At 40.7% G+C, this 22,512-nt stretch overlaps 2 long non-coding RNA genes across 2 annotated transcripts in view, besides 2 other annotated features; one reads left to right on the top strand and one right to left on the bottom strand.

The window, feature by feature from the left end:
* HDAC2-AS2 (HDAC2 and HS3ST5 antisense RNA 2) overlaps positions 1 to 22,512 on the bottom strand; it is a 371,029-nt gene that overhangs the window by 332,791 nt on the left and 15,726 nt on the right. Inside the window, exons 2-4 of the long non-coding RNA NR_125845.1 lie at positions 15,921 to 16,046; positions 14,452 to 14,596; positions 11,879 to 12,339 (exon numbers count right to left, since the gene is read on the bottom strand). This is a non-coding gene — a long non-coding RNA (HDAC2 and HS3ST5 antisense RNA 2). The remainder of the gene's footprint in view (positions 1 to 11,878; positions 12,340 to 14,451; positions 14,597 to 15,920; positions 16,047 to 22,512) is intronic.
* Positions 10,432 to 11,631: an enhancer, noted in NCBI's record as "CDK7 strongly-dependent group 2 enhancer chr6:114317472-114318671 (GRCh37/hg19 assembly coordinates)". NCBI's record gives its function as "activates an origin of replication core promoter dependent on BRD2, BRD4, P300/CBP, MED14 and CDK7 cofactors, with strong dependence on CDK7, by STARR-seq in HCT116 cells {active_cell/tissue: HCT116}" and the evidence as "EXISTENCE:reporter gene assay evidence [ECO:0000049][PMID:35650434]".
* Positions 11,900 to 12,194: a silencer, noted in NCBI's record as "tiled region #9060; HepG2 Repressive non-DNase unmatched - State 4:PromP". NCBI's record gives its function as "represses a minimal TATA promoter and a strong SV40 promoter by Sharpr-MPRA in HepG2 cells {active_cell/tissue: HepG2}" and the evidence as "EXISTENCE:reporter gene assay evidence [ECO:0000049][PMID:27701403]".
* On the top strand, positions 16,757 to 20,517 carry LOC124901384 (uncharacterized). The gene is made up of 2 exons (XR_007059719.1): positions 16,757 to 18,616; positions 19,263 to 20,517. It is a non-coding gene; the product is annotated as an uncharacterized LOC124901384 (long non-coding RNA).

Raw genomic sequence — 22,512 nt, 5'->3', positions numbered from 1 at the left:
TCCTGGAACCTCACATTGGGTTCTGGAGTCAGTAACTGATGCATTTTTAATGCAGCAACCACGCCATTGTTTTCAGGATGTGGCGCTGATGTTGGATACTATGAAATGAATAAATATCAGCCTGTGTACCTAAGTATCCTCCCTCAGGGCTCTGTGGTATAGAAAGTGCTTTGATGTGGTTGGGAGAATGAGACACCCCATGGGCTGCTTCTGCTCCCCAGCACAGAGTAAGTGTCTTCTAGTGACATAGTCAAATGAAAAGGAACCACAATTGTTGTGCAGATGAAGCAGATTTTTGCCTAGTGACCTGTTGTAAAATGTAATCAGAGCTTTCCTTTAATGGACTGAAAATCCAAACTAATTAAAATACTGTCTGACCCAAACCATAGTTCAGATCAGACTGTGAGAGGCTATTGTCTTTAATGTACTTCACCTCTCCTCTGAAACATGCCCTGCTTCTTTTGAAAAGGTTAAAATTATGTCCATGCAGCAAAACTATAAATGGCCTGCCTTAAAAGGAGCAGGCATCCAAAAGAGATCCTGAATCCTCACCCTTAGCAGGATGAAAGAGCAGACACTGGAGAAGAATGTCTGCTTATATTTTCAGGCAAAAGATGTGAAGTAGGGAAAGAAAAATGTTAATAAATTGACATTTATTCAAATCATGATGGGAGGAGTTTTAGATGTTATTCATTGTGTTATTCAGGAAGACAGCACATATCACTGCCCATCCATACACACAGGGAAGAAGTCTCCACTTCCCAACAAGAGATGCATGGATATCATGGGACCATCCATGAATTCAAACTGAAGGGCCTAGAAAATCAAACTGAAGGTCAGTGTGCGTGAACAGCAGGGATAATGGCTCCATGATCCTTTCTTCAAATATATGATAAGACTGAGAAGGAATTCATTTTGGAAAAAAAAATAGAGGTAGACAAAAGAAGCCAAATTTTGCTTTCTCCAGCTGAATCATCTGCCACGCCATCTGGTTCCATGAAAGTCCTGAGCAGACTGGCAAGAAAAAACTTAAAAGAGTTTATAGGCTGGGCGTGGTGGCTCACGCCTGTAATCCCAGCACTTTGGGAGGCCAAGGCAGGCGGATCACGAGCTCTGGAGTTCAGGACCAGCCTGACCAATATGGTGAAACCCCATCCCTACTAAAAATGCAAAAATTAGCCGGGCATGATGGCGGGTGCCTGCAATCCAAGCTACTCAGGAGGCTGAGGCAGGAGAATCGCTTGAACCCAGGAGGTGGAGGTTGCAGTGAGCTGAGATTGGGCCACTGCACTCTAGCCTGGGCAACAAAGCAAGACTCTGTCTCAAAAAAAAAAAACAAAAAACAAAACCCGGCTTATGGACCAGCATGGCCAGAGTAGAATGAATAAGGGAAATAATTCTAAGAAATGAGGTCAAAAAGGAACAAGAAGCACAACCGTGAAACACAGAAAGCCCTTATCCCAGTGCCTGAGACTTGCTCCCTAAATGGTACCTGTAATAGCTGCCTGTGCGACTGTGAGCTCCTAAGAGAGACAGAAGCCACCAGAGCAGGAATCCATCCTCTTCACTGATATTTTCAGCACCTCTGGTAGTTCCCAGCACAAAGAAAGTGCTGAGTGAATGATGAACAAATTATTTACTCTAATTACACTCACGAGACTGTTGTGTGAGGTCAGAACATGAAGTTATTAATTTATAACATGTGATACACCTCTCTAATGTATTAATTATGTCAGGTGGCTATCCAGGGCACTTTCTACCAGTTATCAAAGTAGTTAGGTAGCCTAATTAATCAAAAGGAAACTGCTTAATAAGCATGGAATAAGGTCAAAGAAAGCTGGATAGTCTTAAGGGATGTTACTTGCAATCTTGTCTTCTTTGCCCTGGCAATTTTACATATCAGAAGACATATCCAGCTAATAAATTGGGTCAAAGGCTGAACATGGTGGCTCACGCCTGTAATCCCAACCCTTTAGGAGGCTGAGGCAGGTGGATCACTAGGTCAGGAGTTCAAGACCAGCCTGGCCAAGATGGTAAAACTCCGTCTCTACTGAAAATACAAAAAAATTAGCCAGGTGTGGTGGCAGACCCCTATAATCCCAGCTACTTGGGAGGCTGAGGCAGAGAATTGCTTGGACCAGGGAGGCAGAGGTTGCAGTGAGCTGAGATTGCGCCACTGCACTCCAGCCTGGGTGACAGAGTGAGACTCCATCTCAAAAAAAAAACTTCAGTTACCTCTTAAAAACTGTATCTCCAAATTCCTCAAATGTCCAAATATCTCCTGCCTCCTTAAAGGCCCTATCACATTAAGCATTAGAATTTCAACATGAATTTGAGGGAGACACAATTCAGCCCATAACAGCTTGCCTCTTATTAATAATATACCATTTATTTAGTCATTGTGACAATAATTTCAGAAGGTCAGTGTAAGCCTACTATCACAACATCTAATGCACAACAGTGACTATAGATTGTGCATCAAATTTTTAATTTGGATAACATAAGCAGGGGATTAGACTCGATGACCTTTAAGGTCCCTCCCAACTCTGAGACTCCATGAGTATATTTGTTAACCGCTAATATTTTAAAAATTATGATTGTTTATATGATATCAGTTGAATTACTTTTAGGTGCGAGCTTCAGAAATATCTAGATAAATGCATCAAAAAGTGACTTAAGCTGCATTATGTAAAAAGCATTCCAGGAGTAAAGAAGTTCCAGGTTAGTTAATAAAGTTGCTTAACAAATCATCAGAGCCAAGGTTCTTTCCATCTTTCTAACCTGCCAGTCATCAATGTGCCAGCAGTTTCCCCATGGTCACAAAATGGCTGCATTAGCTCCAGGTATCACATCCTTACAAAGTCTCCACAGGCAATACAAAGGAAAAGTGAAACATCTTTGCTTCTTTCCATTTTTTTTAAGAATAAAGAAAGCATTTCATAAAACTCCCCGTCGGGCTTCTCATTGGTCAGATTTTTGTCACCTATGTACTATGATTGGTTTAAATCAGCAGACATCCCTTCATTTCTCATTGATAGAACTAAGTAACATATTGTACACACCAAATCAATGAAAGGCAAAGCAGGAAAAGGCACAAGTGAATTATAAGTCCTTCCTAGGGGTTGGTGAGGAGTCAGTTTCCCTTGACATGGAATATGTAAGAATTGACCAAATCCAGGTTCTGTTAGCAATGAAGGATAGGAAGATCTGTTGGCCACAGATATAACCATGTTATCAAAACCCCAAATCAGAGCAAGCAGTGAAAATGAGCATTTGATAACAAGATTACCTTGGGAAATCTGAAAAACCACAAAGATGGTGACGACAGTGGTTCCTACACTAGTGTTCCTTAGAAATATCAGAAGGTATTGATGGAATTTCTGAGCTATTTTCAATATCTCAAAAGCCCTAGGAGAAAAGATCTATACAAACTAACTAAAATGTTAAATTTCTTTGATTTTGACTGAAATTCTATAAAGTCAGTATGCTAAGGATTATTCTCTCATCCTAATCAGAAGCTTATATTAGTTTTAAATATATATTGAATCAATGGAATGTTTTCAATAAATCAATAACTAAATAAATATATTTGAAAGGTATATTTCAAATATGAAAGACTCTTTTAAAACAAGAATTCCATGGGAGAAAAAAATTTTTTTTTGTTTTTTGAGACGGAGTTTCACTCTTATTGCTGAGGCTGGAGTGCAATGGTGCAATCTTGGCTCACTGCAACCTCCGCCTCCTGGGTTCAAGAGATTCTCCTGTCTCAGCCTCCTGAGTAGCTGGGATTACAGGCATGTGCCACCATGCCCAGCTAATTTTGTATTTTTAGTAGAGATGGAGTTTCTCCATGTTGGTCAGGTTGGTCTCAAACTCCTGACCTCAGGTGATCCACCTGCCTCGGCCTCCCAAAGTGCTGAGATTACAGGCATGAGCCACCATTCCCAGCCTGAAAATACTCTTTAACGGGTTATTGGTAGAGAAAAATGTGAGAAATCATTGATGTTCAAACTATTTCCTTCTTCAAGGAAATGTAAAGAATTTCAGCTCCTTGGGACTCAGGAGTGCTATCCTGTCTACAGAGACAAGCAGTAAACACCCACAGACATTAAACATTCAACCTCAGTCTATTCTGTGCTTAGGCAGACATCTTTCACACTGACCATATGCTAAAAAGTCATGATCTTTTCATATCATTAACTTAAGACACCACGAGGATTTCTTGAATAAATGCATTAATTAATATAAGTGAATGTAATATGCACTCCTGTTATCTTTTATTTCTACTAGAAAAGGACAAATCAACAATGAGCACTTAAATTAAATTCTATCAGCAAAATATACTTATATGATATCACAGACATTTGCATTTATATCCTGCAATTACTATCTGCTAATAGTAATTTAATTGTTTAATGAATAATATCAAGGAGAGTAAATATTAATGAAAATGTAGAACATTTTATTTTATTTATTTATTTATTTATTTATTTATTTTTGAGACAGAGTCTTGCTCTGTTGCCCAGGTTAGAGTGCAGTGGCGTGATCTCGGCTCACTGCAACTTCCACCTCCTGGGTTCAAGCGATTCTCCTGCCTCAGCCTCCCGAGTAGCTGGGATTACAGGCGCCTGCCACTGTGCCCGGCTAATTTTTGTATTTTTAGTAGAGATGGGGTTTCACCATGTCAGCCAGGGTGGTCTCAAACTCCTGATCTCATGATCCACCCGCCTCAGCCTCCCAAAATGCCGAGATTACAGGCGTGAGCCACCATGCCCGGCCGAAAATATAGAACATTTTAATATGAGACCTTCTGGTTTTATTTGTCAATAGTGACAACTATATTTAGCAATTTTTAAAAGATCATTAATCAAAGCCAGAAAATAGTAAGGAGAGATGATTGCATGGCTCTTGAATATTAGATGGCTAAAGGAAAACAGCTAATTTCTAGAAGTAGTGTTTAGGGAAGAGAATAGAACAAATTGTAGCATAAAGTGTAGCATAAACTGTCAGGTGTTTTGCATATGTATTGTGATACTAATGGAGACAATAATATAAACTGGCTAGAAAGAGAATGCATTGAGATTCCATGAATACCCCTATTTGCATGACTTTTTTATTAGAATAACATCTAATCCTGCTTGGCAGCTGAAAGATATAATTAGTGTGCTAACGAGTAAAACGTCTACAGAGTTAGAGAATGATCTCAAAGGTTGGTGGAAGATGTTCTGGGAAGACATGTTTTTGCTGTTGTTGCTTTATTTGTTATTAAGTTATGGCTTGCATTCATACACTGGTGAAGTGGACACTAAGCAACAAGTATAACCGATACTCCTTGTCATGCTGGAGGGTCCCTGTCTTAAGGAGCTTTTTGGTTTCCAGGAACGAAGACCCAAACTAACTCAATTAAGTCAGGATATTGGGAACATACAAGAGGACAAAAGAAATGTCACAGATACAAAAGCCAGAGTAGGGTCAACACTCACACATCCAGGAGAATAAACTGAAAGCTGGGTCTTACTCCAAGACTTCTCTGGAGAGCTCAGCAGTATGTCTTTGCTGCAGTGCTCCACAATTGACAGGGCACTTACTCTTCCACACATGCCTCTCTGGTTTCTCTTCCTAGGAACTGTCTTATTCACCCTCTAATCTGTGAGTCTTTTCTCCATCTTGAAGTATATGCTCATTTATAACTATAGCTCATGCACAGTTTACCTCACTCATAACTTGGTCCAGCCTATCTCCATCTCGCTCCCTTTCACTTTCTTTTCCCACTGATAACTCCATTCTGGAATATCCCACTTAGATTGTCTAAGACAGATAGTCTGATTGGCTTAGATCATCTTTCATGCATGGGTCACCGACTAGCTCATACATTGACTGCCCTGGGTCAGGTGCCCATTCTTTTCCAACCAGTTGTGTCCGGAGAGATGGGGACACATGGTACTAAATGTGACTACCCAGGGCTCTTCCTTCAGTAGGGAATGGAGAAGGGGCCACTTTCCTTTGGAGCATCTGCAGGTCAGCCAGGCAGTGTGATTGACATCTCTAGTTAAACAACTAAATCAGGGGAACTCAGTCAGAAGACATGCAGTAGATAGCTTCATTATCTGGTTTGGAGATCTTCAGTGAGTCAGTAAATTTATAATTGTTTCATATTTACTTTATATAATATGATTATAGCCTATATTTCTTTTAATTTGTAAGTAAATGTTAGTAATTATGAGAGACACTTTTCAGGTACACTGGAGTTCTGATGCAATTAGCTTCTTGAGACAAAACAACTCCAACAGATAGAAACACCTAGGAACTCACCATCTTCCCTCCCATAAAATAAGCTCCCTTTAGAATCCATGAATCATGACTGTCCAATCCATTTTTAATAGCTTCTGTCAGAGACATTTCAAAATAAAGGGCAGTTATTATTTATTGTTTGTAATGAAACCTACTCAGCCCAGAGGGACATTATGAGGATCACTGTCAGATTTTGTAAAATGCCTTTGGCTTTTCAATGGAAAGGTACTATATATGATAATAAAAGGAATAGCAATAATATTCTTGCACCATCTTGACACTGAGTTCATCTTTGTCTTAAAAAATAAGTTCATCTTTAGACATTATGGGGATTACTGAATTCAATTTGTCCTAAGAATGCTATGGCTGGTGAAAAAAAAGATGCTTATTATAAAAGCGCTTTCTCCATTCCCTGTTCTGTTCTATATGTGTTGTGTTGTTCTTAACTTTTGTGTATATGGGAGAGTTGACTATCTCTTGTAAATGCACAATAAAGTAAAGGCAAAAACTGCCACGGCAAAAAATGGTGCTTTTGCCATTACTTTTGCACTAACCTAATAATTGAAATTTGAACTCTATAAAAATTTTAGGATGGCATAGAAAGAAATTTCTCAAGTGAAACTTTGAAAATGTTTCCCAGACTCACATGCATGCACTCATATGCTCAGGCAGTTCTATGCACACATATTAGAAAGAGAGACAAAAATAAGAAAAGGAGATGTGAAGTGAGAATTTTAAGAAAAACATTATATTCATACCTATATATGGATTGTGTTTATATTGCCTTACAAAGCACTTCTGTACATGTTATTTCATTTGATTCTCACTAGAAACCTTGGAGTTAGGTGGGAAGATGAGGATTGTCTAGCTCTTTTGCCCTGGGCACTATAAAATTCAAAGGCAGATTTTCCAGAGAACAGGGCTGGGGATGGGAGAGCAGATGTGTCCACCGTTTCATGCAGGACACAAAGGGAAAGACTCTGTGGAAGCCCAGAAAGCTAGTGAACCCAGACATTGTTCTCTATCATGTCTTAATGTAGATTTCCAACTGTTTTTCCTTTAACCTTGCCAATACCTATGTTAAGGTGAGGAGAAGGATGCATTGTGAGACAGACAGAGTTGAAGGGGTTAGATCACTTGGATTATTCATTTCTTGTCAATTTTCAGGAAGCAACAGAGACCAAGAGACTTAGTGCAAGCCACAGAGCTAAAAGTAATGATAAAGTAACTATATATGATATGAGGAGGCCAGGAACAAGAGATCTTTCCAAATCTGAGCCTCATGCAGGGGTTGCTGTGGTCAGTTCTCTATGACTTTAAGTCTGACTCACATATTTGATATGCAGTTAATTCTCTATAAACAAACAAGCTGTTTGATATGCTTTGGCTGTGTCCCCACTCTGATTTCATCTTGAATTGAAGCTCCCACAATTCCCAGGTGTCATGGGAGGGACCCGGTGGGAGGTAACTGAATCATGGGAGCAGGTCTTTCCTGTACTGTTTTCATGATAGTGAATAAGTCTCACAAGATCTAACGGTTTTATAAAGGGGAGTTTTCCTGCACAAGTTCTCTCTTGTCTGCCACCATGTAAGATGTGCCTTTCACCTTCGGCCATGATTGTGAGGCCTCTCCAGCCAAGTGGAACGGTAAGTCCATTAAATCTCTTTGTCTTTATAAATTACCCAGTCTCAGGGATGTCTTTATCAGCAGTGTGAAAATGAACTAATACACTGTTTTGACCAAACCACAGCAAAGAATTAAGTAACTGCCCCCAGAGAAGTTGCCCAAGGCTTGCCTCTGCAGGTACCCCTACCATCAACTCCTGCCTCTTGTGAATGATCACACTGCTCTAGTTTTTTTTTTTAATTTCCGCTTTTCAAAAATTCCAGGCTGTCTCAAATGAGGCAACCTAGCAACTTTCTCCCTATAGAAAACTTCACCTTGTCATTCTGCCACTTCTAAATCTAATCCAGAATTGCTTTTCTGGTTTTTACAACTCTTCATTGGTTTGCTCCTCCCTCCTTTTCCAAATTCATTTCTCCTTATCTTCATCAGTCTGCCACCTTCAACACCACCCCGTCACTCTACTTCTTGGCTTTTCAGGCAGTTACTGTTTGAAGGAGAAGATTGAAAATATCATTTCTCACTTTTGAGAACTCTTACAGGAACATATTGCAAAGCCTCCCTCACACCTGAGAGAGAGGAAGAGAGAGAGAGCGTGACACCTCACAAAGAATGTCTAAAGTGGGAGTAGCCCTAAAATAGAGCACAATAATAAACTGATGGGGCTGTGCTTTCTTAAAAAAAAACAAAAAAAAAACAAAAAACAAAAAACAAAGCAAAAAAAAAAAAAACAAAAAAAAAACAAAGCAAAAACTCACAATAGAACTTTCCCTCCATAAATGAGCTATTATCAAAGTACAAAATATTCAATTCTAGAAAAATTGCATAAATTGCTAAATTCTCTTTAAAATAAATAAATAAATAAATAAAAAACCATGCCATTCAAACCACTGCAACAAACCACAAGGGAAAAAAGGCTACAAAGACAAAGCCCCATTCTCACTTGGTACCAGTGCTACCCTGGTATATGTTACACCACTGAGAAGACTTGTCAATTCAAACATCTGTTCTAAGGCACACTTCACTATCAGAACTAGTACTCCATTCATATTCCTTCCTTCCACAGGCTTGACAGATGGATGAATTCCTAATGGCCCCAGATTACATTCAAATAGTTGCAATAACCACCTCCTCCTTAGTGAACACTGCTTTCCCCCAGGCAATAAAACAAAGATAATGGTAGAGGGGTATAAAATAACATAAATTGGGAATCTAGGCTCAAAATCCAACATTTTCCCTGCCGGCAGGAACACCAGACGGTGGTGTCTTGATCCTGCCATGCACATATTCCATGAGTGACAACAGGCAATGAGATGTGAAGGAAAAGAGAAAGATGTGCCCACCAGGTCCCTCCCAAAGGGCAGCCAAGTGTTTTGTTTGAACTGCCTTGTGGCTTATTGGAGTCAGAACTGCATGTTCCGTAGAAAACTGTCTACCACCAAGTTAGGATCTTTACTGATTATCACCAAAGGTCTTTTGTCTTCAGAATGCAATGAAAAATAACTCCCATAAAGGAAGGTGGTATAAGGTGGGAAATGCAGGCTACTATGTCAGAGTCATGTGGATAGATGTGTTCTGCTAGCAGGCTTCCATTTTACTCTATAACAGAAAAGAAAGATAAAATTTCCAGGAAAAAGAAATGAAAGCCGCTGCCAGTGAAAAGAATTTCTACCACCAAGTCAAGTAGGCTGGGGTCTCCACTTACAGATGGTGATTACCATAGACTATGGATTAAATCATGTCTGCATATCCACACCAGAAGTCTCTACAACTCTATTTGATCTTCCCCCTCATGGTCTTCTCTTTTCTTTTCTTTTTTGAGATGGAGTCTCACTCTGTTGCCCAGGCTGGACTGCAGTGGCGCGATCTTGGCTCACTGCAACCTCCGCCTCCTGGGTTCAAGCAATTCTCCTGCCTCAGCCTCCCGAGTAGCTGGGACTACAGGCGCACACCGCCACACTTGGCTTATTTTTTTTTTTGTATTTTACTAGAGATGGGGTTTCACCATGTTGCCCAGGCTGGTCACAAACTCCTGACCTCATGATTTGCCTGCCTTACCTCCCAAAGTGCTGGGATTACAGGCCATGGTCTTTTCTTATACTATAGTCTTCCAATTTTGATTTTTGCTCTAAGTTGGCATAAGATTCACATTTCTAAGGATGTCAGGTTGTAAGTACAAAAATGAATTTCATTCTAATTTGTTTTTGTGTATGAAAGTTAATGTAGAATGAGGATGTATACATGATTAAAAGAGGCTGTGAAGAATATCTTATAGTGAAGAATTTGCTTCCTGTAGTTTTGTGGCCTCTGGTGTTGTAATAGAGGGTAATCCATTTATATATTTTCATTAAAATTTATTCAAGACCTTGTCATGTTTCTTTTCATAATGTGCCAATATTCTTGTCCTATCCACTATCAAAATGAACTTAAATCATTTATTTTTTAAAAGGTTGCATGCTATTGAGTTTACATGTTTTCTATTGGTATATTTGTCCTCTGCACCCTCTTTTCCCCTCTTGTCAACTGCTATTCCTATTCACATTTGGCTTTGCTTTACATTTTCCCCAATTCTAACTTCCCATTTGCTTTCTTTCCGCTCTCATTTCCTTGCTAACTCTCTGGAGAGAATGAAATTCTATTGTTGTTATTGTTATTTTCTTTTTTCTTCTAAAGATTGGAGAGTAGAGCTGAAATATTTGCGAAATGAGCAGTTCCATAAATATCAAGAAGTGAGTAATAAGTGGAAACTGTTCTTGGAATGCTAACTCCTAGGATGTGGTCTATTTTTAGTAGACCACATAATAAATGGGTGGAGACCAACAATCCAAGTGCCTTGAATATTGAGGGTGAGCTGAAATCAAATCAGGTTTCTTTATGGTAATTGATTATAAAGTAATTTCGTCCACAATGACAACGAATTGATAAGTCAATTTGAGAAATATGTTATTAACTCATTTTTATAATTAAGAAGCTCTTAACAGATTTCTGTAAATGCTACAAAAATAAAACTCCAAAAACGAACATAGTTAATTTTGTTGATAAGATATAGCTCTCATTTAAAAAAATTTTTTTTTTTTTTTGAGACGGAGTCCAGCTCTGTTGCCCAGGCTGGAGTACAGTGGTGTGCTCTTGGCTCACTGCAGCCTCCATCTCCTGGGTTCAAGGGAATCTCCTGCCTCAGTCTCCCAAGTAGCTGGGATTACAGGCGCCCGCCACCACACCTGGCTAATTTTTTTGTATTTTTAGTAGACACGGGGTTTCACCATGTTGGCCAGGCTAGTCTCGAACTCCTGACCTCAAGTGATCTGCCCGTCTTGGCCTCCCAAAGTGCTGGGATTACAGGAGTGAGCCACTGCACCCGCCCTCATTTTTAAATTTTTTTTTAAAAAAGGTAAAATTGGCCTCTTAGCTAAGTGATTATTTCTCTTGCAGTGTGAAAGGACAAGAAAGCTCTTCTGGCACAGGACTTAGCTGCTGCTGACCTCCTTTATGTTATCAGTGGACAAAAAGGCTGGTTAAAACCTGCTTTGATGCCAGGCGTGGTGACTTACACCTATAATCCCAGCACTTGGGAGGCTGAGGCAGGCAGATCACTTGAGGTCAGGAGTTTGAGGCCAGCTTGGCCAACATGGTGAAACCCCATCTCTACTAAACATACAAAAATTAGCCAGGCATGGTGGTGGGTGCCTGTAATCCCAGCTACTCAGGAGGCTGAGAGAGGAGAATTGCTTGAACCTGGGAGGCGGAAGTTGCAGTGAGCCAAGATGGCTCCACTGCACTCCATCCTGGGTGACACAGCAAGACTCCATCTCAAAAAAACAAAAAACAAAAAAACAAAAAAAATACCACCAAAAAAACAAAACCAAAACCAAAAACCAAAAACAAACAAAAAAACCTGATTTCATATAGTTTCCTGGTGATTTTTTGTTTTGTTTACCGCTGAGATTTAAAATGGTTGCTTACCTTAAGAGAAAGAGAGTATGCTTGTAAAATTTAAGTGCAGGACCAAAGCATGGAGCAGGACCAAGGGAGCAGAGGGTGAGCACGCAGGAGACCACAGCTACTCTCTGCCGTGTTATAGGAGAGGGTAGAGCCAGCTGGCAGACAGCAGGCTGGAAGCCAGCAGTTAGAAGCAGCAGCTGTGGGTGACCTCAGCTGGGAGAAATGAGAAGGATCCCTTGAGTGGAGAGATGTGACGACAATGCTCATAAAACCATTGTTGCTTTTACTGAAAGAGCAGAGGTCAGATGTCTTCAGACATTAGAGGACAGACAAGTCAGGTGAGCTGCTTAAAAATTCAAATTCCTTGTCCTACTTGAGTCTTGGGGCTCGAAAATCTTTATGTTAAACCATCAACACAGATGACTCTGATCCAGCTCTTCCAGGAACCACACTTTAAAAATCCCTGGACTAAGATGCAGCATCTGTGAAAATAAAACACAAAGATTTATGACAATTTTGCAGGTGATAGGGCTACATATTTCTACTTAGGGATATGCCTTTGTTTAACCCTTTTTAAAAGTCTCACCTACTCATGATATTAAATTACTTCAGGGTTATTTAATTAAGTAAGACACTTCCATTTTCCGATATTCTGACTTCTTGTCAGACAGTGTGTCCCCATTTGGAGTGTTCTAAATATAATCCTCATTTTAGAAGAAATTATGCTCTTTGCTGTTACAGCAGTTGTTTATATTTGTTGCTATTTCATTCTTTAAAAATAAAACCATATGGAGATACATGCACAATTCCTGCTTCTCTCAGTTACCTACCCAGAAATAAAATAATTCTAGCTATAATTGAGTCTAAGCTATGCCAAGCCTGTCTGGTATCCACTGTTTGAAATGTCTGCACAGAGCCTTGAAGGAATTCATTGTTCTTCAAAGTGCCAGCTGTACATACTGCCATTTCCTGCATGGCTTCTGCCACTCAGGAATGCTGCACCCTGGTGGTTCTTTAGTGGTGTCTTTTTTCTCCATTGCTTCATTGTGGGACCCACAGTGTCTGTCTGAAGATACTGCACCACAGCTCAAGAGCACCATCTTGGGATGCACATTTTTGCAACAGATAGAGGATTTGAGTGGCATAGAATTCCATAACTGCTAGAGGCAAGTGCAGTAAACCTAGAACAAAAAAATTAAAAGAAAGAAAGAAAAGGGGCAATGGGGCAGTTACTTTAACCATGTGCATTAGCTTGGCAATACCTCTTAGATTTTTTCTTGGTAGGAGATGCAGACTTTATCCAAGAAAGACAGTGCTACTGCCTTCCACAAAATTTATATTTTGCTATTTTTGTCTGCAGGTCAAGGTCACAGTCAGCTTTGAAAGAATCAGCTATAAATCTAATAAGGGCAAAGAAACTTAGAGGGCTTTATGGAAAAGTAAGTTCTTTTCAGATAGCCTGCAAAAATGTGCTGGCCTTAAATCACCCCATTGTAATATTTGAGATATGCAAGAAAATCATTGAACTTTGGGACCATTTTCAGAAAAACAAAAATATAAAAGTACTTTTATTTTCAAATCTCTAAAGTGAATCATCAGTAAATTATCACATAATCTAAAGGTTTGACAAACTGGGTCATTGCACCTTGGATATATGTGTTAGAAATTCTGTGATGGAGTCTCATTTGGCCTTTGGTGTTTCCAGGCTAGGGTTTTCAGCACTGATGTCTTATGCTGGATCTCCCTCAGCTGCCCACACACCCCATGGAAATGGGACAGATGATGCAGTTGGTGGATGGGGGAAAGAAAAGTGAGACTAATAAGAGGGACCAGACTGGGAAAGAATTCATGTTTTTCCTCATGGTAATTAGAGAGCTTGATGTATACGCAAATTCATATACATTTCTTTAGGTTGCCATAGACACTGATGCCAATATTCCCTTTCATCCTCAAATTCTCTCCCTGAGCATAGGCAGGCTCTATAACAATGTCAATGCCAATCTGTGTGTGGAACACCAACTAGGAAAAAAAGTTGGATGGCATTAATTTCACATGTGAAGTGGTCTGAACAATGCAACTAGGAGTTAAGAAAATGCCAATAACAGCCAGGCGCAGTGGCTCACACCCAGTAGTTTGGGAGGCCAAGATGGATGGATTGCCTGACGTCAGCAGTTAGAGACCAGCCTGGCCAACATGGTGAAACCCCATCTCTACTACAAATACAAAAATTAGCCAGCTGTGGCACACACCTGTAATCCCAGCTACTTGGGAGGCTGAGGCAAGAGAATCGCTTGAGCCTGGGAGGCTGAAGTTGCAGTGAGCCAAGATCGTGCCACTGCACTCCAGCATGGGCGACAGAGCAAGACACCATCTCAAAAAAAAAAAAGAAAATGCCAGTACCATCTCTCAGCCTCCATGGTGTCTAGGCTGTTGTGGAAGAATGAGCAGCCTCTCTTCCAGAAGCTTGAGGGGAACTGAACTCCTGGGGGACAGGCAGGAGATTAAATTTAAGGCAAGAAGTTTGAGGATGTAAGGAAATTAATTAGATATCAGTTAGGGTAATGCTAGACAAATGCTAACGAATAAGCCCTCACATTTCAGTGGTTGTCGTCACCCCCAGGTTAAGAGTCCATTGCAGGTGTTCTTCGTTGGCTGCAGCTTTTCTCCATGGAATAGTTCAGACATCCAAGCTCCTTCCATCTTGTGGCTCTGTCTTCCCCTAAAGCTACAGACTCCTTCCTATTCAGATAGGGGAAGAGAGTAGAGAAAACAATCATGCTTTTAAAAAACCCCATCTGGGAGGTGACATAAATCTCTTTCTCATTTCATTGATGAAAACTAGTCACATGGCATAATCTGGATGCAGGAAGGGCTGGAAGATGCGGTTCCTGGCTGGGCAGCCAAATTCAACTGACATCTCTACACTGTGAAAGGGGATGCTGAATTTTAGGGGACAGCTAGCCATCTCTGCCATGTAAAGTTTTGATAAGGCATAATGGACAAGACTAAGAAGGAAACCAGCAGAAGAAACGGAACATTACGGGAACTGGACAAGACAGTTAACTAAAAGGAATTGCATTTGTCTGGTATCCTGGCGTAACAAAGATGAGATGGATGACTGAATTAATTATCTTTGAAATTTGGGGGTAAGGTAGTCTAAGAATTCAGGCATGATGAGATTAGGAGGCTTTGCTCAGTGCTCAAATCGGATATAATCAAGAACCAGGCCAAGCATGGTGACTCACGCCTGTAATCCCAGCACTTTGGGAGCCTGAGGTGGGTGGATCACCTGAGGGCAGGAGTTCGAGACCAGCCTGGCCAACATGGCAAAACCCCATCCCTACTAAAAACACAAAAATTAGCTGGGCGTGGCGGTGTGTACCTGTAGTCCTAGCTACTCAGGAGGCTGAGGTACGAGAATCCCTTGAATCCAGGAGGCGGAGGTTGCAGTGAGCCTAGATCACGCCACTGCACTCCAGCCTGGGTGACAGAGCAAGACACTGTCTCAAAAACAAAACAAAACAAACAAACAAACAAACAAAAGCAAGAACCAGTTCTGGGGTCTCCAACCAAAAAAAATTCTTTCCAAGTTATTGGAGGACAAGGTGAGATGTTTTCTAGTTGTTCATGTCCCAGAGAAATTTGCTGTTTCTCTAGCTGGAACACCTGGGCTTTTGCTGGTAGAACCACAGATAACTCTAGAGGAGAGGTGTCCACTATGTCTGCAATGAGGGAAATGTCCTATATCTTTACTGCTCAATACAGTAGCCACTGGCAACATGTGGCTATTGAGCACTCGAGATGAGGCTAATGTGTCTAAGGAAATTTTAAGAAATTTACATTTACAATTAAATAAGTACAGGTGGCCAGTGCCTACCATTTTAGACAGCTCACCTCTAGAGGGATGTAATGGGCACCTCTTGCGTCATCTGCCCAGGCCCCCCTTTCTCTGCAAACTGACCCTTCTCCTACAAGCTTCCTCAGGTAGCTCCGCACAGCCAGGTTCATAACGTTTTTCCTTTTCACCAGCCATGGTTGCCTAACCCTGGGGTGATCACTATACCAACACTTTAGCCAGTCAGAGCCTCTTCACAGATGCTGGGGGAATAACAGAGCAGTCAGTCTCCTCCGCAGGTGGATACAGAAGCTGTTGGTAGCCATGTTTTCTGCAGAAGCAGAGGATGCCAATCTGCAAAAAGAGATGAATGAAGCAGGCATGAAGACAACAGTGAGGTGAGAGAGAAAGCCAGAATCCTGGCTGCTGTTCTAGCCCCTGATTCCAAACTATTTCTAAAACAGGGCTGCAGCTGACCCTCAGGGCATGATGGCTTGTGCCTGTAGCCCTAGCTACTTGGGAGGCTAAAGCAGGAGGATCTGTTGAGCCCAGGAGTTTGAGGCTGCAATAAGCCATAATTGTACCACTGCTCTCCAGTGTGGGTGACAGAGTGAGACCCTGTCTCTAAAATTAAAACAAAAACAAAAACACATTAAGTCAGTTTGGAATGTCTGACTGCCATCTCTACCTATCAAAATTCTACGAATATTTCAAGGCCCATTTCAAAGGCCATCTCCTTCTCTATCCTATTTTTCTTTCTATTTTAGTTTTTGACTAGTTTGAGCACATGGCCTTCATTGTTTTATAATTGTTTATAGATGGTTTGTAGGTGCAATACTCCAAAACCTTCTCCAGACACAATTTTTTATTAATGCAGTCTAAAATGGCATTCAATTTTCTGGTAGCTACTTCATATTTTCATCCATATTGAGTTTTGTGGTCAATTAAGACCCTCAATGTCATCTCACTGGCATGAGATGGTATCTCATTGTGGTTTTGATTTGCATTTCTCTAATGACCACTGATGATGAGCTTTTTTTCATATGTTTGTTGATCATATAAATGTCTTCTCTTGGGAAGTGTCTGTTCACATCCTTTGCCCACTTTTTTATGGGGTTATTTTTTTTCTTATAAATTTGTTTAAGTTCCTTGTAGATTCTGGATATTAGATCTTTGTTAGATGGATAGATTGCAAAAATTTCCTCCCATTCTGTAGGCTGCCTGTTCACTCTGATGATAGTTTCTTTTGCTGTGCAGAAGCTTTTTAGTTTAATTAGATCCCATTTGTCAATTTTGGCTTTTGTCACCATTGCTTTTCGTGTTTTAGTCATGAAGTATTTGCCCATGCCTATGTCCTGAATGGTATTGTCTAGGTTTTCTTCTAGGGTTTTTATGATTTTAGGTTTTATGTTTAAGTCTTTAATCCATCTTGAGTTAATTTTTGTATACAGTTTAAGGAAGGGGTCCAGTTTGTTTTCTGCATATGGCTAGCCAGTTTTCCCAGCACCATTTATTAAATAGGGAATCCTTTCCCCATTTCTTGTTTTTGTCAGGTTTGTCAAAGATCAGACAGTTGTAGGTGTGTGGTGTTATTTCTGAGGCCTCTGTTCTGTTCCATTGGTCTATATATCTCTTTGGGTACCAGTACCATGCTGTTTTGGTTACTGTAGCCTTGCAGTATAGTTTGAAGTCAGGTAGTATGATGTCTCCAGCTTTATTCTTTTTACTTAGGATTGTCTTGGCTATATGGCTCTTTTTTGGTTTCATATGAAATTTAAAGTAGTTTTTTCTAATTCTGTGAAGAAAGTCAATGGTAGCTTGATGGGAATAGCATTGAATCTATAAATTACTTTGGGCAGTATGGTCATTTTCACAATAGTGATTCTTCCTATCTGTGAGCATGGAATTTTTGTCTGTTTGTACTGTTCTTGTAATAGGGAAAAAGTCTCATGAGATCTGATGGTTTTATAAAGGGCAGTTCCCCTGCACATACTGTCTTGCCTGCCACCATGTTAAGACATGCCTTTGCTCCTCCTTCGCCTTCCACCATGATTGTGAGTCCTTTCCAGCCATGTGGAACTGAGTCCATTAAAAATCTTTTTCTTTATAAATTACCAAGTCTTGGGTATGTATTTATTAGCAGCATGAGAATAAATTAATATGCTATTGAATCATAAATACTGATCCAACAAACTATTTTCAGCACCTCTGATATGTGATCACTTTGCTGTAGCTGACACCAGCTACATCTCCAAACCTTCTTGGCTTCTGTTGACACCATGCTTCCCTGTGGCCTCCTCCTACTCCAGTTCCACAGTTTCCTCTCCAGCAGGCACTTCTTCACCTCCTCTTATAAACACTGCTATTCCTTGCAGTTCTGTTCTGGGCCTCTTGTCTTCCCACTTCACACATTCTTCCCCAGTGGTCTCATCCACATACCTTTGATTGGTTTTCCACTATTTGCTACTGACTCCCAGCTCTTATATCCAGTTAATTACTCACAACTCAAAACCCTTCAAAGTTCTCTTGGAACCTTGAGATCAGTTTCCTTTGGAACCCAGTTATGCCTTTAATCTTCAGCCTGCCACCTCCGTGTTCTTCCTGAACTAGACCTCTGGCTCAAAAATGACCACTGCTATGGTTTGAAGTTTCTCCCCTAACCCTCCTAATTCATATGTTGAAATCTTAACCCCTAAGGTGATGGTATCAGGAGGTGGGGCCATTGGGAGGTGATTAGGTTATGAGAGTGAAGCCCCCATTAATGGGATCAGTGCTCTTATAAAGGGTATTCCAGAGAGCCTCCTCTCCGTTTTGACCATGTGAGGACACAGAGAGAAGAGGGCTGTCTATGAACCAGGAACAGGTCCTCACCAGACACTGAATCTGCTGGTGCCTTCATTTTGGACTGCCTAGCCTTCAAAACTGTGAGAAAAAATTTCTGTTCTTTATAAGCTATTCAGTTTATGGCATTTTGTTACAGTAGCGCAAACAGACTAAAACAACCATTGAGCATCTAAGTCATCCCCGTAATTGCTGTATTCAATCCTATTATATTACCAGGGCTTTAAAAATTGTTTATCGTGACCCATTACTAGTCCTAGAATTAATTTTGTGGGTCACAGCTGATTTTTTAAAGAATAGAACAGGCCAGACGTGGTGGCTCACGCCTGTAATCCCAGCACTTTGGGAGGCCAAGGCAGGTGGATCACGAGGTCAGGAGATCGAGACCATCCTGGCTAACACAGTGAAACCCCATCTCTACTAAAAATACAAAAAAGCCGGGTGTGGTGACGGGCGCCTGTAGTCCCAGCTGCTTGGGAGGCTGAGGCAGGAGAATGGTGTGAACCTGGGAGGTGGAGCTTGCAGTGAGCTGAGATCAGGACACTGCATGCCAGCCTGGGTGACAGAGCAAGACTCTGTCTCAAAAAAAAAAAAAAAAAGAATAGAACAAAGAAGAGAATGGAATGGAACAGAAATAGCAGAATGCTTGCCTCCATAGTAAGTATTGTTTTAAGATTTTTTAGTGTGTGTGCATTAAGTTATAATAAACATTTTATTTTTTTATTGCAGCTCATAGACAAACATTTAGTACCCACTGGATTAGACCACTGTGTCTTCCAGAGCATCCTGAATCAACTTATAATAAAAACAATTTGGAAACTAAATTTTCTGGGTTCAGTCACAGGTTCTGGTGCTTACTAGCTGTGTTTTATTGGGCAAATTAATTAACCTCTCTATTTCTCAATTTTCTCATCTGCAAAATGGATTTAAAAATTGTATATCATCATGGGCCTATAGTGAAGATTAAATGAATTAATACAGTTCTTGCCTGACATGGATGAATGCTTTCTAAGTATCATCTACTCTTAAACAATAAAATATCTAAATACTCTATTAAAGATATCAAAATCACGAAAGCACATGAGAGATACTGAAACATAAACATATTGTATGTAATATGAAAACAGAAGAATTCATCAGATTGCTTTACCTAAAACAATCACACTTTGAAAGACTTTACATTCATTCAGTGCCCTTTCTTGGCTTGGCAATCTTCTTCACCATTTTAAGGATTTTTCAATCTTTTGAGGAAATTTTGACTTGATTTTTATAGGTCTAATAAATGATTATCAGATTTGGATTTTATTTATATCCTGTGGGCATGGAAGTTTTGTATGCATCATCCATGACCCCTTCTTCCTTCTTACCCTGATATTAGTAAGAGATATACTTCTGTTCTACACATCTCCATGCTTCTGGAAAGGGACTGTATCCATCACCTAAGCCAATGCTTCTAGATTTTTTTGTGATGTGACGAATTAAAAAAAAAAAACAGTGCTTGTATAGCCTGTAGGATAAAAGGAAGAGGCCACTCTGCTTGGAGATGACTGGCGAGATGCGACAGTGGCTTTGGGGCAAGAAAAAATGGCAGCCCTAAGGCCTGAAGGGATCAATATCTCTACATGTGTAACCCATTCTCAGCGTAAGATGGAAACCTCTGGACTCTAAACCAAGAAGTGCATGTCTTTCCCACTGCCACAATTACCAGTTCAGCGTGGGCCTATGATCAAGCCTGGCCAAGGAAACTGACAAGAAGAACTTAGACCCCATCGTATCTTCGTCTGTCTTACTAGATGAGAAGAAGGACGACCATTGCCCTAATTGACACCAACCTTAGGATGACACTAACTCTGTGGATGGTAGAAAATGTCATCTAAGGAACCTGGCTCTGACAAAACTGCAGAGCTGCTGCATCAGCCAACCCTGAAGCCTACCCTATTCTAGATTCCCTGTTAAGGAGATAATAAATGTCTTCATTGCTTAAGCCATTTTGAATTATCATTTCAGTTACATTTAGCCCAAAGCATCTTAGCTAATTCAATGGCTTGTTCTACTTTATAGATTTTTCAACACTGCAATTCACAGAATTATACTGTACTATGAAATATAAAGTATTACACGCAACTTTGATAATTGGTGTTATGGACCACAGAGCACAGATAATCACAAGTGTTTAAATTTGGGGTTTTAGTTTCTTCTCAGACCCCCATTAACCCTTCCTTGGCAAAGGTTACTGCTAACTAGAGGTTTTTTGCCCCATCTATACCTCATTTAGATTCTTCAGCTTTTTGGTGGAATCAAAAAGCACTTCCCTAAATCTGGGTAATTTCAACATGTAAGCTGCTGGAAGCCACAATGACACCTACCTGTGTAACTGCTTTTTTTGGTAGTTCATAGGGAACTCTGGCACCGGAATTTTATATTTACTATAAAAAGATTTAAGTTCATAAAACCAGTAACTGTGGACATGTGTATTAGTCCATTTTCATACTGCTATAAAGAACTGCTCAAGACTGGGTAATGTATAAATGAAAGAGGTTTAGTTAACCCCACAGTTCAGCATGACTGGGGAGGCCTCAGGAAACTTACAATCATGGTAGAAGACAAAGGGGAAGCAAGGCACCTTCTTCACAAGGCAGCAGGAAGGAGAAGTGCTGAGCAAAATGGAGAACAGCCCCTTATAAAACCATCATATCTCATGAGAATTCACTGTATCACGAGAATGGCATGGGGGAACCACCCCCATGATTCAATTACCTCCACCTGGTCTCTCCCTTGACAGGTGGGGATTATGGGGATTATAATTCAAGATGAGGTTTGGGTGGGGACACAAAGCCTAACCATATCAACATGTGAGCCCCAGTACCCTCAAAATGGCCCATAATTAATTGTGCTGGCTTTCATGGTATGGTCATCTTGAATGTGTCAAATCTCTACAACTGCCACAACTAGGAAAAGGCCAGGGCAAGCACCATGGGAGCTTTTTTGTATGTTGGCCATTGGTCTCCCAGCTCTTCTTCAGGCTGCTACCTGGCATCATCCTCCAAATGTATTGGCACCCATGGAGCAGACGGCCTGGAAACTCACAAAAACCCCCTACGTGGCCAGCACTTCAAAGCCCCTCCTAACTGACAGAGGATGAACAATGGATTCCAGCTCCTGCTTGTGTCTCAGCAGGTGAGTGTATGCCAAAGGAGAGGAGTGGACCTAGTTTACACAGCCCTAAACAGTGGTTGGGACAGTAACAAAGCAGTTCTGAAGAGCCCAACCACACAGCTGCCCCTACATTTTTAGGCAGCTTTGGATGACAAATGGTAGCAAACTCACATCTTCGGCCTTGCAATCACTGTACAGGAACTCCCTCCTTCTTCTCTGCCACTGGAATTCATCTAGAAGAAGCACATCTAGCTATGAGTAGGGGTCACTGGATTGGCTAGCCTATTCTTACAAACTCCCAGACTGCTTTTTGTTTGTGTGTCTAATATTAGAAATATTAAGGAGCTGAAGGGCCTTGGCTGCTCTGACCCCTGGACTTCCCTTATGCATTAAGAGCCTCCACTCCTATCTCAGCTGTTTGAATTTAGCATCCACAGAGCACCTTCCCCTGGGGAAGGATGACTGAGATGGCACAGGTTCTGGGGTCCCCTTCATGAGAACCTCTGCATTTTCATCACTTGAAGATACATGGAGGCCAATCCTCTACCTATCCCAAGGCCAGTTCCAAGTTCTTGTCTCCAGGGCGTGTGATGCTTCTTTGAGGAAAACTTAACATACATATTTGTTTCAACCAGGGAATGCCCTTTTGCAGTTAATGGCAGTTTCACTCCCTAGAGAGGAAGACAGCATTTGGACTTGATGCCCTTCATTTGGAAAAAATGTTACGAAATTATTTATAAAAATAAAGCAAGTAACCATCCATTGTTCTCAGAGATTAGTCTGAGTTCACTTAAATCTACGACAGATGCTAAAGCCTAGGATT

The sequence above is a fragment of the Homo sapiens genome, chromosome 6, assembly GCF_000001405.40.
Source record: "Homo sapiens chromosome 6, GRCh38.p14 Primary Assembly".
Classification (NCBI taxonomy): Eukaryota; Metazoa; Chordata; class Mammalia; order Primates; family Hominidae; genus Homo; species Homo sapiens.
The sequence above is the reverse complement of the archived record's forward strand: the minus strand, read 5'-3'. Positions and strand labels throughout refer to the sequence as shown.